This window comes from Homo sapiens, chromosome 16 (genome assembly GCF_000001405.40).
Source record: "Homo sapiens chromosome 16, GRCh38.p14 Primary Assembly".
NCBI lineage: Eukaryota > Metazoa > Chordata > Mammalia > Primates > Hominidae > Homo > Homo sapiens.
Window position 1 is genome coordinate 79,477,641 of NC_000016.10, and position 17,304 is coordinate 79,494,944.

At 45.3% G+C, this 17,304-nt stretch overlaps 1 protein-coding gene across 5 annotated transcripts in view, besides 1 other annotated feature; it reads right to left on the reverse strand.

Moving 5' to 3' along the window:
• The window catches only part of MAF (MAF bZIP transcription factor), a 398,116-nt gene that overhangs the window by 275,019 nt on the left and 105,793 nt on the right, over window positions 1-17,304 (reverse strand). The gene's annotated exons all lie outside the window — the stretch shown is intronic.
• Window positions 4,863-5,073: a silencer, noted in NCBI's record as "fragment chr16:79516400-79516610 (GRCh37/hg19 assembly coordinates)". NCBI's record gives its function as "represses an EF-1alpha promoter that drives an FKBP-Casp9 reporter gene in an ReSE screen in HepG2 liver carcinoma cells {active_cell/tissue: HepG2}" and the evidence as "EXISTENCE:reporter gene assay evidence [ECO:0000049][PMID:32094911]".

Below are 17,304 nucleotides of genomic sequence, written 5' to 3' on the forward strand. Positions count from 1 at the left end.
GAATTATCCATGTATTCGTATCTTATTTATTCTGTGAGATTCTGCAAGCTGCTTGAAATTCATTGTGGAATTAAGTGACATTTTTTTTTTAAATTTTTTTTTGATATGGAGTCTCGCTCTGTTGCCCAGGCTGGAGTGCAGTGGTGTGATCTTGGCTCACCACAACCTCCGCCTCCTGGGCTCAAGAAGTTCTCCTGCCTCAGCCTCCCTAGTAGCTGGGACTACAGGCGCGTGCCACCAGGCCAGCTAATTTTTGTATTTTTAGTAGAGACGGGGTTTCACTATGTTGGCCAGGCTGGTCTCGAACTCCTGACCTCGTGATCCTCCTGCCTCAGCCTCCCAACGGCTGGGATTACAGGTGTGAGCCACTGCGCCTGGCCGTGACTTTTAAGGTAATAAACAAATACTCAGAGCTGGGTATGATTAACTCTTTTATAAATAAGAAGACTAAAGCTTAGAGAGCACCTTGCCCACAGCCTCCAGACTACTGAGTAGTGAAACTCAAATGTCAAACTTTGTCAATATTTCCAAACTCCCTTCCCCGTCATCCTGTGCTACAGGTTACAATGGCCAATCCTCAATCACAGTTAGCCTTGAGCGAGGCCTTGTGATTTGCTTTTCACACATTCCTGTGTCCACACTTTACAGGGCTACAAAGAAAGTTTCCTATTTTCTCATTTTATAGATGTGGTAGAGTCTACAGGAGCTCAGGAAGCTGCTCAAGGTCAAATGGCCAAGAGTGGTGGGACCAGAATGGGAGTCCAGGCAGTTTGTTTCCAAAGCCTACAGTCATCCATGGCTACCGGGTTCCAACAGAGAAGAACACAATCACCACTGTCAGCCACAATCACTAGCAGTGGGATAGGTCTTAGATGTGGCAATGCTGGGACCCCTGTGAGAGTCTATTTTGACTCTTTATTTATAGGATCTTGTACCATCCCAGAGAACCACCCCTGTATACCACACAATCACTTGTGTACTATCCCCGTGTGTCATTCCAGTGTTCTCTCCTAGTGTTCCATCCCAATGCCAAATGCCTGCATCTTTGTGTAGCATCCCAGGGTTCATTCTAGTGCACCAGTGCATCATCCCAGCATACCTGGATGTCATCCTAGTCCACTTGGGCACCACCCCAGCATACCCGTATACCATCCTACGATACCTGTGCACCACCCTGGCATACCTGTATCCCATCATGGGACACCTTTGCACCACACCAGCATACCTATATACCATCTTAGTGCATCTGTGCACCACTCCAGTATACTTCTATATCTTAGTGCACCTGTGTACCACCCCAGCACACCTGTACACCATCTTAATGCACCCGTGCACCACCTCAGCATACCTGTATAGCATCCTAGTGCACCTGTGCACCACCCCAGCGTATATTTATAGTATCCTAGTGTGCCTGTGCACCACTCTAGCACATTGGTATAGCATTCTAGTGCACCCGTGCACCACCCCAGCATATCTGTATACCATTCTGGTGCACCTGTGCACCACCCCAGCATACCCGTATCCCATCTTAATGTGCTCGTGCACCACCCCAGCATACCTATATCATATCTTAGTGCACCCATGCACAACCCCAGCCTACCTGTGTCATACCTTTGTACCATCATACCTTTCTACCATCCTGTTGTACCATCATGGCATACCTATGTTCCATGACAATGTAGCAGTGTACCATCCCCATGTAGGCGCCATAAAATCCACTATCATACCTTTTCCCGGATATGTGTTTTCTGAACAAGTGAATGATCAATTTCAAATGTTTGACTGAGCATCCGTTTTAAGACCTGCCTTGGCACTCCAGTAGTTCATTTCTGTGGTTCTGTACTTGAATGGAATTTGTCAGGGCGGGGCCATCACTGCAAGCTTCGATAACTGCATTTGCAAGGGATTGACTCCCTGCTGACAGCGGGAATCCTTCGTCCCCCTCTCTAGAGCCGAGCCAAGCCAACTTGCCTGTATCTGAAGGGTAATCAGGCCAGTTATGCGGATCACAGTACTGAGTATGTGAAAACTCTTCCTACCTTATATGCTAGGCAGAATTTGGTATTTCCCACAGGAGAGAAAGGAAGGAACCAGACTACTACGTGCTAAGGTCTGTGCTGGTACTCTATATCCATGCTTTAATTCTGTATCTTGTTGGCATTGTTGACCTCATGTTAAGATGAGAAAACTGGTGGTTCAATAAATTGTCACTTGGGTCAAATCACAGGGTTAATTAGTGACAGGGCTGGGATTTGAACCAGGCCTTTACAGCCCAAGTGTCCACAGTCCTACACTACTTCCAGCAGGTTTTCAATGGTCAGCTGATTAGGAAATAAGCTGCTGGTGAAAAAGGATACCGGCAGCTCTACAATTGAAGGATTTCATAGACACCCATTCTACTCTCTCCCTTAGGTCAAGCTCCAGGGTGTAAGATTAATAGAATCTTTGGCCTGTACCCAGATACTCCTTGACTGCTTTGCTTGGTCTGGCTGAGATACCACCTCTCAGAACCTCTGTTTCCAACACAGTAAACGCGTGAGTATCCACTCGTTGGAGCTAGTCTGTTGAAAACCCATGGCACACGGAAAGGACTGCTCAAATTCCCCAATTAGTAACACGTTGTCGGTTTCAATTATTTTCCGGGTGAAACTGGGCAGGCAGAATTCTCAGCTGAGTTGAAATACAATTTTTTTTTTCATTCTTTTGCAAAATACATTTTTAATTCGTTTGGATTTTAAAATAAAAAAAGCCAATTCCAAGCACAAACTAGTGTGACCCAGATTGAGACAAGCAAGGGAAGAAGGGGCAAAGAAGGGAGACGAGTCTTCCTCTAAGCCACAGCTCAGAAGTGTGGAAATCAGCATGTAGGAGAAAAACTGTCCAAAGGCCATTCGAGCTGGGCTTCCCAACATCCAAGTGCAGTGCTCTATTTGGTACCTGGCATTCAGATGTTTTATCAGTTCTCACTATGGAGGGAGGGTAGAAGGGTTGGGGAGAGGTATCTCTATCTGAGATGGGATCTCAGAAGCCAGGAACAGAGCTGGCATTGGACAGGGATGGCCTGGAGGTGTGGGGTCAGAGTACCATGAACCAAAGGCTATGTCCCAGCAAAAGACAGACATGGAAGGTGAGTGTAGAATAGATAATGATGTGTTCATCAAACCCCATTCCCTTCCTCTGGGAAAACAGTTGGATGACATTTCCCAACATCTGTTTGGATAGGACCGTGGGACTGGGCAGTTCAAAACTGCAAGCCAGAGATGTGGATGAGGAGATGGGTGGGCAGTTGTGCTTGGTGCACATCTCTGCTCTGTGACACCATCAAAAAAGCACCCCCAACTCCACGTCCCCTCGCTCCACTTTACTTTTCTTCATTACCCTTAACACAACCTGTAGTGTGTATGTTTATTCACTTAGTATCAGTCCTAACCACCAGAATGTAAGCTCCATAGGACAGAATTCTGTTCTGTTCCCACTGGCTGACAGCCCATGTGTTGCTTGGCCTCAGTACACACCTGTTCAATCACTTACTACCCAAATCTCTCCAGGACGGGAACTCACACTCCTTTACTCTTTGTTCTCTTTCCACAACAGTTTTTTTTTTTTAACACTGTTATTGAGATACAACTTATATATGTATCATAAAATTCACCCATTTAAAGTGAGAAGTTTAATGGGCTCTAAGTTATTTATAGAGTTGTGCGACCATCACCCTACTCTAAATTTAGAACATTTTTACCACCACAACTGCAAACCACATACCCCATGAATAGTGATTTCTCTGCCTCCAAACCCTAGGCCACTACTCATCTACTTCCCGTCTCTATAGATTTGCCTACACCCCCTAGACGTTACCTCTCCATGCCCCTAACAGTCCCATCCATCCTCAAATTCATCCACCCATTGACTACCTTTTAATCCATTCATCTACCCATCAATCTATTCGCCCATCCATCAACCCAGGTATCCATTCACCCATCCATCCATCTACCCATCCACCCACCCATCCACTCATCCACCTATGCATTCATCCACCAATTTACCTATCCACCCATTCAGCCATCCACCCACCCATCCATCCATCTATACATCCATGCAGGTACTCACTTATTCATTAATATGTTTTGAGCTCCTTCTGCATCCCAGACCCAGTACTAGCCCTGGCACTAGAATGGAGAGCAATGCCACCTTGAGAAGCCTCCATCTGGGTAGGGGAGACAGTCACAGGAAGGTGTTACTTCAACAGCACATAAGAAAGGCCACCATCGAAGCAGGTGCGACCTGCTCAGACTTAGAGAAAATTTGTCAGACACAAGACTGGAGGTCACCCTGGAATTGGGAGAGACTGCAGACAAAGGATGGATGATGAAAGCAAAAACTGCTGGGTCATGGGATGAGGCCTGCAGGGGTTCGGGGGCAGGCAAGAAAAGAAAAAGAGATGTGAAAAGTGTTTGTAACTGCAGAGGGTTGGACGCATTGACAAGATCCTTATTAAAGAGACTCAACTGACTTCAGTTTTGAGCAGAACCTATCCTGGTTTCTAACAGCCTGTCCTCCTAATAAGGGGAGACCACAGTCATATGACAGTTTCATTTCCCTCAAAACATTCTTGGCACTTTCCTTCTTCTCTTTTTCCCATCTTTCTGGGGGTTCATTTCCTTCTGTTGGGGAAGTGTGGAGAGCAAAGCTTTGGCACCTCTCCAGTGTTCCAGGAGAAGGCTTACCACCGCCTTCTGCCCCAACCTGAAATCTCTGCAAGGGTGGAGAGATTGTCAAATCAGCGACCTGGTCTTTTACAAAACCTGAGCTGGCTGCTGGATGCCAAGTGATGCTATCAATTGATTAAAACACAGCCTGCCAGCTTCCTGCTTGATAAGAAGGAGCACAATCTGATGAGGAAGTCTCCAGTCCATTACAGAATGAGGAGTTCACCAACTTCATCACCACCTGCTCCTTCCCACACATCATCAAACTTTCAGTGATCATTTCCATGCAGCAGTGAAGCACGGAGCATGCTCACAGCGTGGCCCTGCCCCAGGATGGGGTGGTGGCTGCTGGAGGTAATCACCAGTCTCCCAGTGCCCCGCTGAGCAGGGCTGCCTCTAACCATGCACCCAATGAGGGGTTCAAGGAGTGGGGAATCTGGCAGCTTCTTGCAGCAGATGCCAGACTCAGTAGGGCATACATCATACCCCCCTCCATCCCCTCCCCTCCCCTCCCTCCCTCCCTCTCCTCCTCTCCCTCCCTCCTTCCTTCCCTCCCTACCTCCTTCCTTCCCTCCCTCCCTCTCCTCTCCCCTCCTTCCCTATCTCCCTCCCTCCCTCTGTCCCTCCTTCCCTCCCTCCCCTCCCCTCACTCCCTCCTTCCCTCCCTCTGTCTCTTCCCTCCCCTCCCTCCCTCCCCTCCCTCCATCCCATCCTCCTCTCCCCTCCATCCCTCCCTATCTCCCTTCCTCCCTCTGTCCCTACTTCCCTCCCTCCCCTCCCTCCCTCCTTCCCTCCCTCCCTCCCCCCTTCCACTCCCTCCATCCCCTCCCTCTCTCCCCTCCCCTCCCTCCTTCTGTCCCTCCTTCCCTCCCTCCCCTCCCCCTCCCTCCCTCTCTCCTCTCCCCTCCCCCGTCCCTCCCTATCTCCTTCCTTCCATTAATCAAAAACTATGCATTAAGACCTCTGTGAACAAACACTGTGTGAGGAAATAGGGATACAATGGCAGAGAAGGGACAGGACAGAATAGAACAGGACAGCAAAGGAAAGGAAAGAAAACAGAGGAAGGAAGATAGGAAGGGAAGTGAAGGGAAGACCCAAAGCCATTGTCCATGCTGGCATGGAGTGGACAGGCCCGGAGGGGAAGCAATGTTAAATTAACGTGAAGTGCTAAGAGGAAGAGGTGCACGGAATTAGAAGAGAATAGAATGGGCAAGATTGACCAGGTCATGAAGCTTCTTTGAGGAAGTGACAATTGAGAATGAGAATAAGTATGTCTGTCTGTTCTAGCAGAGGTAGCAGCAGATGCAAAGATCCTGCTAGAAGAGGGAGGTTAAGGGTTCATGTAGCTCAAATCATGTAGCTCACAGGGCTGTATGGCAGGCATAGAGAGAGAGGGGAAGCCAGGCAAGCTTCTGGGGCTGGATAAGCAGAAAGATCTTTGAGACCCTGAGAAAGAATAAGGTCTCCATCCTGTGAGCAAATAAGCAATGTGATGGTGGTCTTATTCGACAGGCAGAGTGATATGGTCATCTTCGCCTTCTGTCCCCTTCTCTGGCTGGCTCCTGAGAGGCAAGGCAGGAATGTGTTACCCCTCCTGGTAGAGTGGCCAACTTGACAAATACCAGTGGTGGTAGGGATGGAAAAAGTGTGTTAGATGGAGTGAGGGCAAGGGATCAGGCTAGTGATAGCAACCAGCAGGTGCCAGGTATTTCCTTTGAGAGCTTCCTCCCATTCTCTCTCTAACTGAATGGCACAGCACCCCTTGATGGGGTCTATTGTTGGACCACCTGGAAGACAATAAGTCTTGCACAGAGTTAAGGGACCTGCCGACAGTCACCTATCAAACAAACATCAGAACCAAGGCAACCGTCCAGGTCCCCTGAGAATCCACTGAATGCCCTCCGTCTTCTTAGTCAACTGGTGATGACGAGGCTGGCGTGACAAGGCTGGTGTGACAATGCCTCCCAACTTGGATTTCGTTGACCACTACCTCCCCACCCAGGAACCAGAGGGCTCAAGTGACCCAGGCCATGGTGGCCGAAGAAGGAGCAGAGCCAGTGTATCTGCAGATGACCTCAGAGGTGACTCAGCCTTTCTGGCCACAGACACGTCCACCGGGCAATCACAGGGCTGAGTCCTTACCAGGGGTCAGCCAGGTTCACTTTTCATAGTCTTTGGTCCCTGCTATGGTGGGAGGGAAGGGCTCAGCCCTTCACTTTAACAAGGGGAACAGGAGACAGCCTCCCTTGGAAAAGGCCCAGGGCATATTCCAGATGGCAGCCTGGGTCAGGTGGAGTTATGATACCCCTCGTTGGTCCAGCTTTGGGCTCAGTTCTCACAAAAGGGCCAGGGTGGGAGCTGCTCACACTGGCCTGCTGGTGATGATACTCCACAGCTAGAGCCGGTGGAGCAGCTGGCAGCTGCGGAAAAGGGGTGACATGTGTGCATGTGCACGTGTGTGTGTGTGCATGTGTGTGAATGCATTTTCACTAAAAGCTACTTAACCAGAGAAAGGACCTGAAGGTCTGGCCTCCCAGCAGCATCAAGCATGGTACAGCTGAACAGGATTTAGAACCAGGCAGATCTGGCTTTGCACCTTGGACCTGCCATTAGAAGTTCTGTGGCCCCAGGTAAGCTGCTCAACTTTCCTGCCTCAATTTATTATCTATAAAAATGGACATCATGCTTCTTGGCCTGATTGCCTGATTAGACTTTTATGAAAATTAACCTGATAAATAAGTCAAAGAATTTAGCATGAGACGTGGTATAGATACCAGATAAAAGCCAGTTTCCTCCAGGAACAGTGATCTCTTTAAAGGCTGTGTTCAAACCCCACCCCTGCCACTACTTGCTGTGTGACCCTGGGCAAGTGTTTTGACCTCTCTGTGCCTCAGTTTTCTCACCTTTAAACAGAAATAATAATACTACTTGCCTCATAGGGTTGTTTGAGGAGTAAATATGTTAAGATACTCAAAGTCATACGACAGCGATTGGCACACAGGAAGTACTGCTCTTTCCTTCTCTGTCACCCATTTGTTGTGATTTTATGACCAGTTATTTGTATTTATTTATTTATTTTTTACACAGATGCTCTGACTCTCCAAACAGGCTGAATGCTCCTTGAGGACCAGAGCTGAGTTTTATCATTCTGATAACCGTCTCTGAGCCCAGCACATAACAACAGTCCTACAACTGTACATGAAGTACACATTGAATTTAGTTGTAGTAAGTCCATGAGCACAAACTGACAATCTGAGACAACAAAAGTTTATAAGAAAAAGGTTTTTTTAAAAATATCTCTTGAAAACCTTAAGATCAGGTGATTTAAAAGCACCACTATTACACTTGCAATGTGTCTTCTCTGAGCAGGAAGATCTGTCGGGTTCCTCCTGAATCTTCCTTCTGTCCAAAAGATTTAATACAACTAAAAGCAGCACACAGACTCGGTGTCTTGCCAAACAGAAGTAAGCTACAAATGGCCCAGGGGCGGCCAGCGGCTGGCAGAGAGCATATGAATGAATTAGCAAATTAGCAGAAAGGACTTCTGCTGAAAAACTAATAAAGCATCCAACCAATAATGGGATAGATTTTTAACTGATGGAACTCTATAAGGATCTTGCAGACAAAAAATCTGGACCACTGTGGATAATGGGAGGAATTTTGGGAGCACTTATTGATTGCTTCAACACACATCACAGAGAAAATAAAAGGTCAAAAGAGATAATAAACCTGATTACGGAGTGTCTCGCATGACTCTCCAATAACTATCGCTTCCATGCTCACCCATAACTTTCCCTGCCAGCTCAGGAACCCCTCTTTTCATGTGGGGCTCATCTCCCTTGATTGTTAGAGGCAGAAATATAGTGATAGGCAAGAGAAGCATTTCTGGTTCCCCTATAGTTCCAAATTAGTAGCTGCAGAATGAGAAAATGAAATTTATGTAAAATAAAGAAAACCAACTTTTTCAAAATGGTTATTTTCACTCACATTTTGAAAAAGTTTTGAAAGTGATCTTAGATTCGCCCTGGTCATTTTATTTTATTTTATTTTTAACTCTTAGGACAATCTGAGAAAATACAGATGTAAGCCATGTGTTTTTCACATCTAAAACATAAACATAACAATATTTTACCCAAAGACTGATTTCATATCACCCTGATTTCAGTACCTAGGTTCTAGGAAATAAGTTCTGTGAGACAAAAAGATTCTCCCGCATAAGAAGGTTCTGCAGAAAATGCTGTTTGGTTATTGCTCATTCAACCCAAGTTACGCAGCTATCTTTAGAGCAGGACTTACCAGTGCCTTTAATGTGCTAATTAATAATTGGCTTTATGAGTCTCCGAGACAGAGAGAGAGCATAAAATATTTCTTAAATTCATTTGACCACTAGCTTTCCTCTGTAACATTACTTGGAAGAATAATTAACTATCCTAAAAGAAATCAATCCTGTTGCTTTTCACCTTGGGTGGGATAGAGCTACGTGTTTGAGAAATAAAGTTTATTGCAGATCATACTCGTAGCTACTCCATGGCCTTCTGACTTGTGGAGGTCCCCCTCCACCTCCTACAAGGTGGATTTTGAGTAGACTAGTCAACAAATTCTAAGCAGTCCATCCTAAATCTGCTGCCCAGATTTTGTACAGCTTAAGTCAGTGGTTTTGACTTGGTGGTCGAGGTGAGAGAGGTTGGGGAGGCCTAAAGTTCCACTCCTTTTTGCAAAGAACATCTATTGAAATCTCCTCCAAAACACTGTTTTATATACTTTCACAAAGACCTTTTAATTAGGTAAGTAGGACCCATTCAGTTATAGAACCTCCAGATTTTAATGCTAAGAACATTGTCTCTAATGATGAACTAGTGCAAAAAAAAAAAAAAAAATTCCCATGTGACTCCAGTTTCGTGAAGTTCAACGTCAGGCAAAACTAATCTATGATGATAATAGTCAGAGTAGTGGTTTTTTAAGGGAGGCATCGACGGAAAGCAGCCTGAGGGAGCCCTCTTGGGTGTTGAGAATATTCTATATTTTGATCTGAGTGGTGGATATATGGGTATATGTGCCTATACAAATTCGTGGGCCTATCATGCACTTAAGAATTGCACATCTTATTGTATTATTTAATCTCAATTAAAAAATTAAGTAAAAGAACCTAAATGATTGAAAGAAGGCATTTTTTCTGTTTGGGGGCAATCCTGAAATGGTTTTTAAAATGAAGAAAAAGAACAGGAAGAAAAAGCCCCGTTGTCCGTTTGGATCCACTCCAAAGATATGAATAATTCTCATATACCCTTCGGGGAAAAAATCCTATTTTATTACCCAATATGCAAAAGGTTAATGTGAAGGGAAGGCAGAGGAAAAGATGGCTCACTGTCCACATAGACCTAATGCTTCTCAACTTCGGAGACTACATCCTTGGCCAGGACCCTGGGTGACTCTGGAGCACCCCAAGTTGTTGGGAATCCCCGTGGTTGCTAAGAATCCCTCCCCCTTGCTCTTGATGGTAAACAGCTCTGCTTTCATCTCTGCGTATGGATGAAGATTTCCAGCCTGCATTTTAAATGAGAATCTTTCCACGCAGGGGATAAGGCCCTGTGCTCACAATGCTCAGGTTAAGAAACTACAAGGAAATTAGACAGCCTGTCAATCCATTTATCTGAAAGGGATGTGGTTACAAATCAGTGGAAGAACTATTTGCATCAAGCATCGAAAAGTAGAAGTCTCAAGACTTAAAAAATCTGTCCCTGGAGACCTGGAGTGACGCATTGGCACGCCTGGCGCTGCCACCACGGATAACTCATCCTGCTCATTTTGAGTTAGAAGAGCACGCAGAGGGAGAGAGCTGGGTTCTGTCTTGTGCCAGCCAGCCAGGGTACCCCTTGTGAACCTGCCTTTTCCTCCAATTAATGAAGAAAATCAAACCTTGTGAGGACTTTAGGGGACCAGGAAGGAGAAAAACACCTCGTGTTGGGTGTCCAGAAATGTTAGGTCCTCTCCTCTCACCCCCTTACTCTCCAGGTGCAGGTAGGAGGCTCTGGGGCGAGACTGCTTGGGATTGGAGCTTGGTCCTGCCACCTAGTACACTGGTGACCTTGGGTGGCAAGTTCTGGAGCCCACATAATCACTCTATGTAAATGGAAGTCTATAATGTAACATTCCACCAACACCCAGGTTTACTCTGAGGATGGCATTAACAAAACAAGGAACGGGTCGAACATGCTATCTGGATCACAGATGGTGCTCCTCACATTGTAGGCTGCTAGAATTATTTTATTATTAATATTATTACCATTATTAGAGAGACTGAAGGAGTCAGTCTTCAAGTTAGGCAGCTTTCAAGGGGACAATGCATCTCAGCCATTTATAAGTTAATTTATCCTGTGTCTTGCTATGTCAGAGGCACCCTTAGAGAATGCAGTGCACAAAGCAGCTTTCTTACCTCTCGTTCATCAACCTTCCGGGAGCATATCATGAGGACTAATATTCCCTTGAACGTCACCTCAATTAAAAAGTTAATTAAGAAGAACTGAAATGACTGAAAGGAGGCTCTAGTGTCATGCCCTAGGCAAGAATAAGGCAGGATCATCTCTCCTTCCAGACTTTTCTACTGCCCTGTTGGCCTTTCAGGGCAGAGAACATAGTGCCATGAAGCCAGAGGGAGAGATGAACTACCTCAACTACTCAACTTAATTTGTTGATGCCTGAAACTAGAGAAACGTGGCAACTATTCAAAATCATTTATTCATCTCTCTACCCATCCATCCATCTATCCATCCACTTACCCATCCATCCACTCATCCATCCATCCACCCATCCCCACACATCCATCCACCTATCCACACATCCATTTATCCATCCATCTATTCCTCTATCTATCCATCCATTTGCCCATCCATCTACTCATCCATCTATTTATCCAGCAATTTATTCATTCATCCACCCACTCACACATCCATCTATTTATCCATCCATTTATTCATTCATCCATCCACCCATTCATCTATTTATCCATCCATCCATCTATCCATCCATCCTTTGTGTACTGAATATGTGTTTTGCATCAGTTCCCGTGATAAGAGTTGGGGATATAAAGCTGAGTAAGAGGAGTTGATTCCCTGGGGGAAATTCTCAGAAAGAGAGCAGACAAGCAATCTTACTGCATGAGGGAAGGGCAACAGTAGAGGGAGGAACTTCCCTGTTGGGGAACAGAAGTACCTAATTCAGTCTAAGTGATCAGGGAAGCTCCTTAGAGGAGGAAACATCTCAGACTGAAAGAAAGTGGTGGAGAGGAGATCCAGAGAGAAAAGACAACATGGCCAAAGAGATGGCCCGAGAAGCTGAATGTTAAACTTCCTTGCAGGGCAGAAGATGAGGGCAAAATAGAAGGCAAAGCTTCAGGGTACGGAAAGTGTTCTGCTCTGACAAAAGTCCTTGTGGTTTATCTGGTAGGAGACAGAGGGCCAGGTGGAATGGGTCTGTGTGAAACGCAGCCAGCTTAGCTTTTCTAACGGTGACTCTGGGCAGGTTGGAAAGAGACAAGGGTGGTCAGGGCCCCGGCAATGTCCAGAAGCTGAGCAGTGATGAAGGCCTGAAGAGGAGGGCAGGCACCCTAGAAATGCTCAGGAGGTAGAGCATAAGGTAGATGGAAAAAAGCTAACAAGGATGAAAGCCATCATCTCATGAGGAAAGACAAGTTGGTTTGGAACGGGTGTGTCTAAGTGTCTACACCTGTGTGTGGCAAGGTAGAGTGGTCCAGGAGGCAGTTATATTTCAAATCAAAAGCAGATAGAGTGAAAAGATAAAAAGGGCCAACGATGACCCATCAGGGAACCCTAATGTTGAAATGGCAGTGATTCTGCAGGTGATCTGCCTGAACTGCTGTGCGTCTTTAAAATATCCTGGACACAGGCACGGCTGGAAATCTCCCTTCGTCTTGATAGAATAGCCAGCCTTTCAAACGAGGCAGGAATAAAAACATCACCCCAGAGACTGAGATCCATCAAAACTTTCTATACCCAAGGAAACCCAAGACCTGTGTGGGCTGGGCGAGCAGCCTGTGGAGATGCTGTAGAGGGGATTCCTCTGCCTGAAAGCACTAGCTGAGCTTTAAGAGTCTCTGGTTTTAATTAGATAAATAAATTATGATACACTCATACAATGCAACTCACTGCAGCCTTTAAAAAGAAAGAGACAGATCTATATGCACTGACATAAACAGATACCTCAGATATATGGTTAAATGAATATAGAAGTATATGCATGCACACATACACAGACACACACACTCACACATGCATAAATATATTATAAGACTTAGAAAAATGTATGCCAGACTGTTACAGAGATTGGAAAGTGGTACATAGTACTTTCACTCTCAAAGTTCTATGCATTAAGAAATACAGATAAATATTTGTTTTGTACTGAGAACAAAACAGTGACCATAATGCAGTGAAGGTAACACAATTCTGCTATTTCTAACTGTCCAGGTCTCACTCTTGGGCTGTCATGTTCCCCAGAAATGGGCTCTGTGATGTCAGAGATGAATGGAGAAGGAAGAGGCGGGGTGATTTACTGAGGATGTTTTCTGGCATTATGATCAGATGAGACGCCCAAAGTGTGATAACCAAGGGAACCACAAACACAAGCTAGGGAAATCACGTTGAGAATCAGAGAAAATGGTGATGAGAATCAATAAATGGAAACAAGTCACAGATAGTCTGAATTCCGAAAGGATAGAACGGAAAGGGAAGGTGAGAAGGGGAGGGTAAGCAGTTCGAGATAGGATGGGGTTATTGAGACCCAGCAGCCTGATATCCCGTGGAGCTTACTATGTGCTTTCAGGGCAGGCCTGACGGCTGAAAACAGCAGTGAGGACCAGACTCAAAGGCACATCAGTAATATTACAAATGGGGCAAACACCAACCTGAGTGGGCAGTTAGAGGAACCGAGAGATTGGGAGGTAGTAGCTGCCTCATGAAATTAACCAGAACTTAGATGTGGATAGAACCCTTGGTCTGCCAAACAAACCAGCAAACAAAAGTCTTCTCCTGTGGCATCTGATTGCATTCTTCATGCAGGTTCTTCTTTGTTGAACACAAGAAACAGGCAGAGAGCCAGCTTCGCAGTCTCGAGTCCCAGTCAATTCTGAAGCTGTCACACCACTGCCCCATTTCCCCATAGTGAAATCAATCACCAACATCCCAGGTAGAACCTTGGTTTCTAAGTCCTGGTATCCCCTGCCTCCCGGTGGTAAATAAGCCTGGATTTGCATGCACTGCTGCTATGCCCAGAATGCCCAGCGACTAACATGTAACAAAATAAAAAATATTCTGCTCCAGACAAGTAAATTACGCCAACTGATGAACAATTTTTCTTGAGAAGATGTGCTTACCCAAATCTAATAAACCAAGCCCTGAAAAGTCTCTTCCTATGAGCCTTGGGATAGCACTGGCTAGACAGATAGGAAGTAGGTGATTGAGAATCTCTTCCTCTTAAAGAAATGGAGGAAAGGGGGATTTTAGTGAGAAGAATTTAGACCTACTCCGGCTGTGAGTGCAGCCCCTCTGCCCAGCCAGGCCTTCATAAACAACAGGTCTCCTCTCCCACTTCTTTTCTACGTACCCGGAACTGACAATGAGGGCCTGAGAAGACCCCAGTCCAAGCTATTAATTAATTAATTCAAAGTCAAGCTCAAAATATTTTCCCCCAAGACCATATTGCAAAGATCTCTGTGAATAAAAAGAGCCTATCTAATAATAAAACAAAGTGCCTCCATGAGATAGAGCAGGCACGGGCATGAGAGTTGAGGACCGGGTGCCTAACGGTCTGCTCAAGCCAAGAGGCCCAGTGGACCTCTCAGACCACACATGAAGAATGCAGGCAGGGAGGCATTTATGAGACCCGCCTGGGGCTGGGATTAGGGTGAGGTGAGCGACGCATTCATTCCGGGTGCAAAATTTAAGGGAGCACCAACCAAAATTCAACACTATAATTAATACAAAAAGTCAAAACAAATGCAAAACAATCCATGATGTGCAACGTATCCGAATTTTAAAGAAAGACCGGATCTGACCCTGTATTTGGGCAATTTACATGGCTCAGCTCACCCTTACCCCAGCCCATTTGTTCTATATATAGCAAAAGAAAAAAAAAATGCTTTTGACTCAGCAATCCCCCATCCCAGGTCTAAACCCAACAGAAATGCATAGATAACAGTGTCACCAAAAGACACATATGGGAACTTTATAGCAGCACCTTACCATAGCCCCAAAGCTTAAATGAATACAATGTCCATCAATCATGAAAAGGTTAAGTAAATTGTAGTCTACTCACACAACTGCCGTTCAGCAAGAAAAAAAAAACAACTATTGCTATATGCAACATGCAGCGAATCTCATAAACATACTCATGGGAGAAAGAGGCCAGACCCAAAAGGGAACATTCTTTAAGTCCATTTACATAAAATTCAAAAAACTGGCAATATTATTCTTTGGTGTTAGAAGTTAAGAGAGATATGAGATCATACTAGGAGGTTAGTGATTGGGAGGGCTATGAAGGGGGTCTGCAGAACTGGTTATGATCTATATCTTAACATAGGTGCTGGTTACATGGATGTTTTCTTTTTCTTTTTTTTTTGGAGGTAGAGACTCACTCTGTCATCCAGGCTGGAGTGCAGTGGCACAACCTCAGCTCACTGCAACCTCATCTCAAGGGTTCAAGCAATTCTCCTGCTTCAGCCTCCTGAGTACTTGGGATTACAGGTGTGCACTACCATGCTCAGCTAATCTTTCTGTTTTTTTTTTGTTTTGTTTTGTCTTGTTTTGTTTTGTTTTTTGTTTGTTTTTTTGTTTTTGTTTTTTTGAGACGGAGTCTCACTCTGTTGTCCAGGCTGGAGGACAGTGGCATGATCTCGACTCACTACAACCTTTGCCTCCTGGGTTGAAGCAATTCTGGGCCTCAGCCTCCCGAGTAGCCGGGATTACAGGTGCCTGCCACCACGCCCAGCTAATTTTTGTATTTTTAGTAGAGATGGGGTTTCACTATCTTGGCCAGGCTGCTCTTGAACTCCTGACCTCATGATCCACCCACCTCAGCATCCGAAAGTGCTGGGATTACAGGAATGAGCCACCGCACCTGGCCTCTTTTTGTATTTTTAGTAGAGACAGGTTTTACCATGTTGGCCAGGCTGCTGTTGAACTCCTGATTTCAAGTGATTCTCCTGCCTTGGTCTCCCAAGTGCTGGGATTACAGGCATGAGCCACTGTGCCCAGTCTCGGTTACATGGAAGTTTTCACAAAATGAAAATCCATTGACCTGTGGTCTTTTATTTCACTAAGAAGACAAAAGAGTTGATAAAAGGGTGGAGCTAATGACAGCCACCTCAGCTTGCATTATGAGTATGTGCATTATGAGCATCATGAAAACATTTTCTTTGCTGGAAAGAAGACATCAATACTTCCTGAGAAAACAAGTTCCAAGGAAAGACTTTGCTTCCCCCAAAGCCTTATCAAGAGCAAAGACCTGCCCCTTAGTCTCTATTCTTGGTGGATGTGTATTCATGGAACTGGTTTTTTTTTTTTTTCCTTGAGGGCTACAATCCCAGGTTACATAAGGATTTCCCTGAAAATCAGGCTCTTTCAAAAAACCCACGATTTATGATCCTTGGGTCATTTCCATGGTGACAGCAAATGAGAAATCTCTCCACTGCTATTTCCAAAGCCTTCTATCATGTTTAGCCTAGCCAGGAATCCAGAGCTGTTGAACACAGTTGTATTGGTTTTCCATTGCTGCCATAACAAATGACCATGAACTTTGTGGTGAAAAGCAACACAGATTTATTATATTACAGTTCCACGGGTCAGAAGTCCAGTATGACTCTCACCTAATGAAAGCCAGGGAATTAGCAAGCTATGTTTCTTCCTGGAGGCACTGGGAAAAAATTGGGTTTGCCCATTCACAGGGTTGGCAGAATTTAGCTCCATGCAGTTGTAGGACTGAGGTCTCTGTTTCCTTGCTGGCTGTCAGCAGGAGTGGCTCTCACCTCCCAGAGGCCTCTCTCTTCTCCTTGTATAAAGCTTCCTATATCTCAGAAGTAGCCACAGGGAGTCAAATCATTCTCAAGCTTCCATCTCTGGGACCACACCCAAGACAGTTTCTCCACTTTTAAAGACTCATGTGATCCGATTGTATTCCCACCCCAGAGAATCCAGGATAATCTCCCACCTCAAGGTCTATAACCTCAATCACATCTGCAAAGTTCCTAGGGGAAAAAAACCCCACTATTTCTCCACATAGTACTCACACCACACTTCTGACACCAAATGTGTAGGAGTTTTCCCACACTAACCAATCCTCTAATTCTCAGCAGACACTGACTGAGTGTCCCGGTAACCGCCTGGAGTTATGCAGATCCCGTAGATGAAGGGCTCAGTCCCATGAGACTGGTCCCATTTCAGACATCAGTCATAAGTCTGGGCCTCTGGGACATCTGACAAACTGGCTATAAATTGGGGGTTCCCAAGACTCCCTCCTTGGGTTCTATAATTTGCTAGGGTGCCTCACAAAAAGTCAGAGAAATATTTATTTACATTCACCAGTTTATTGT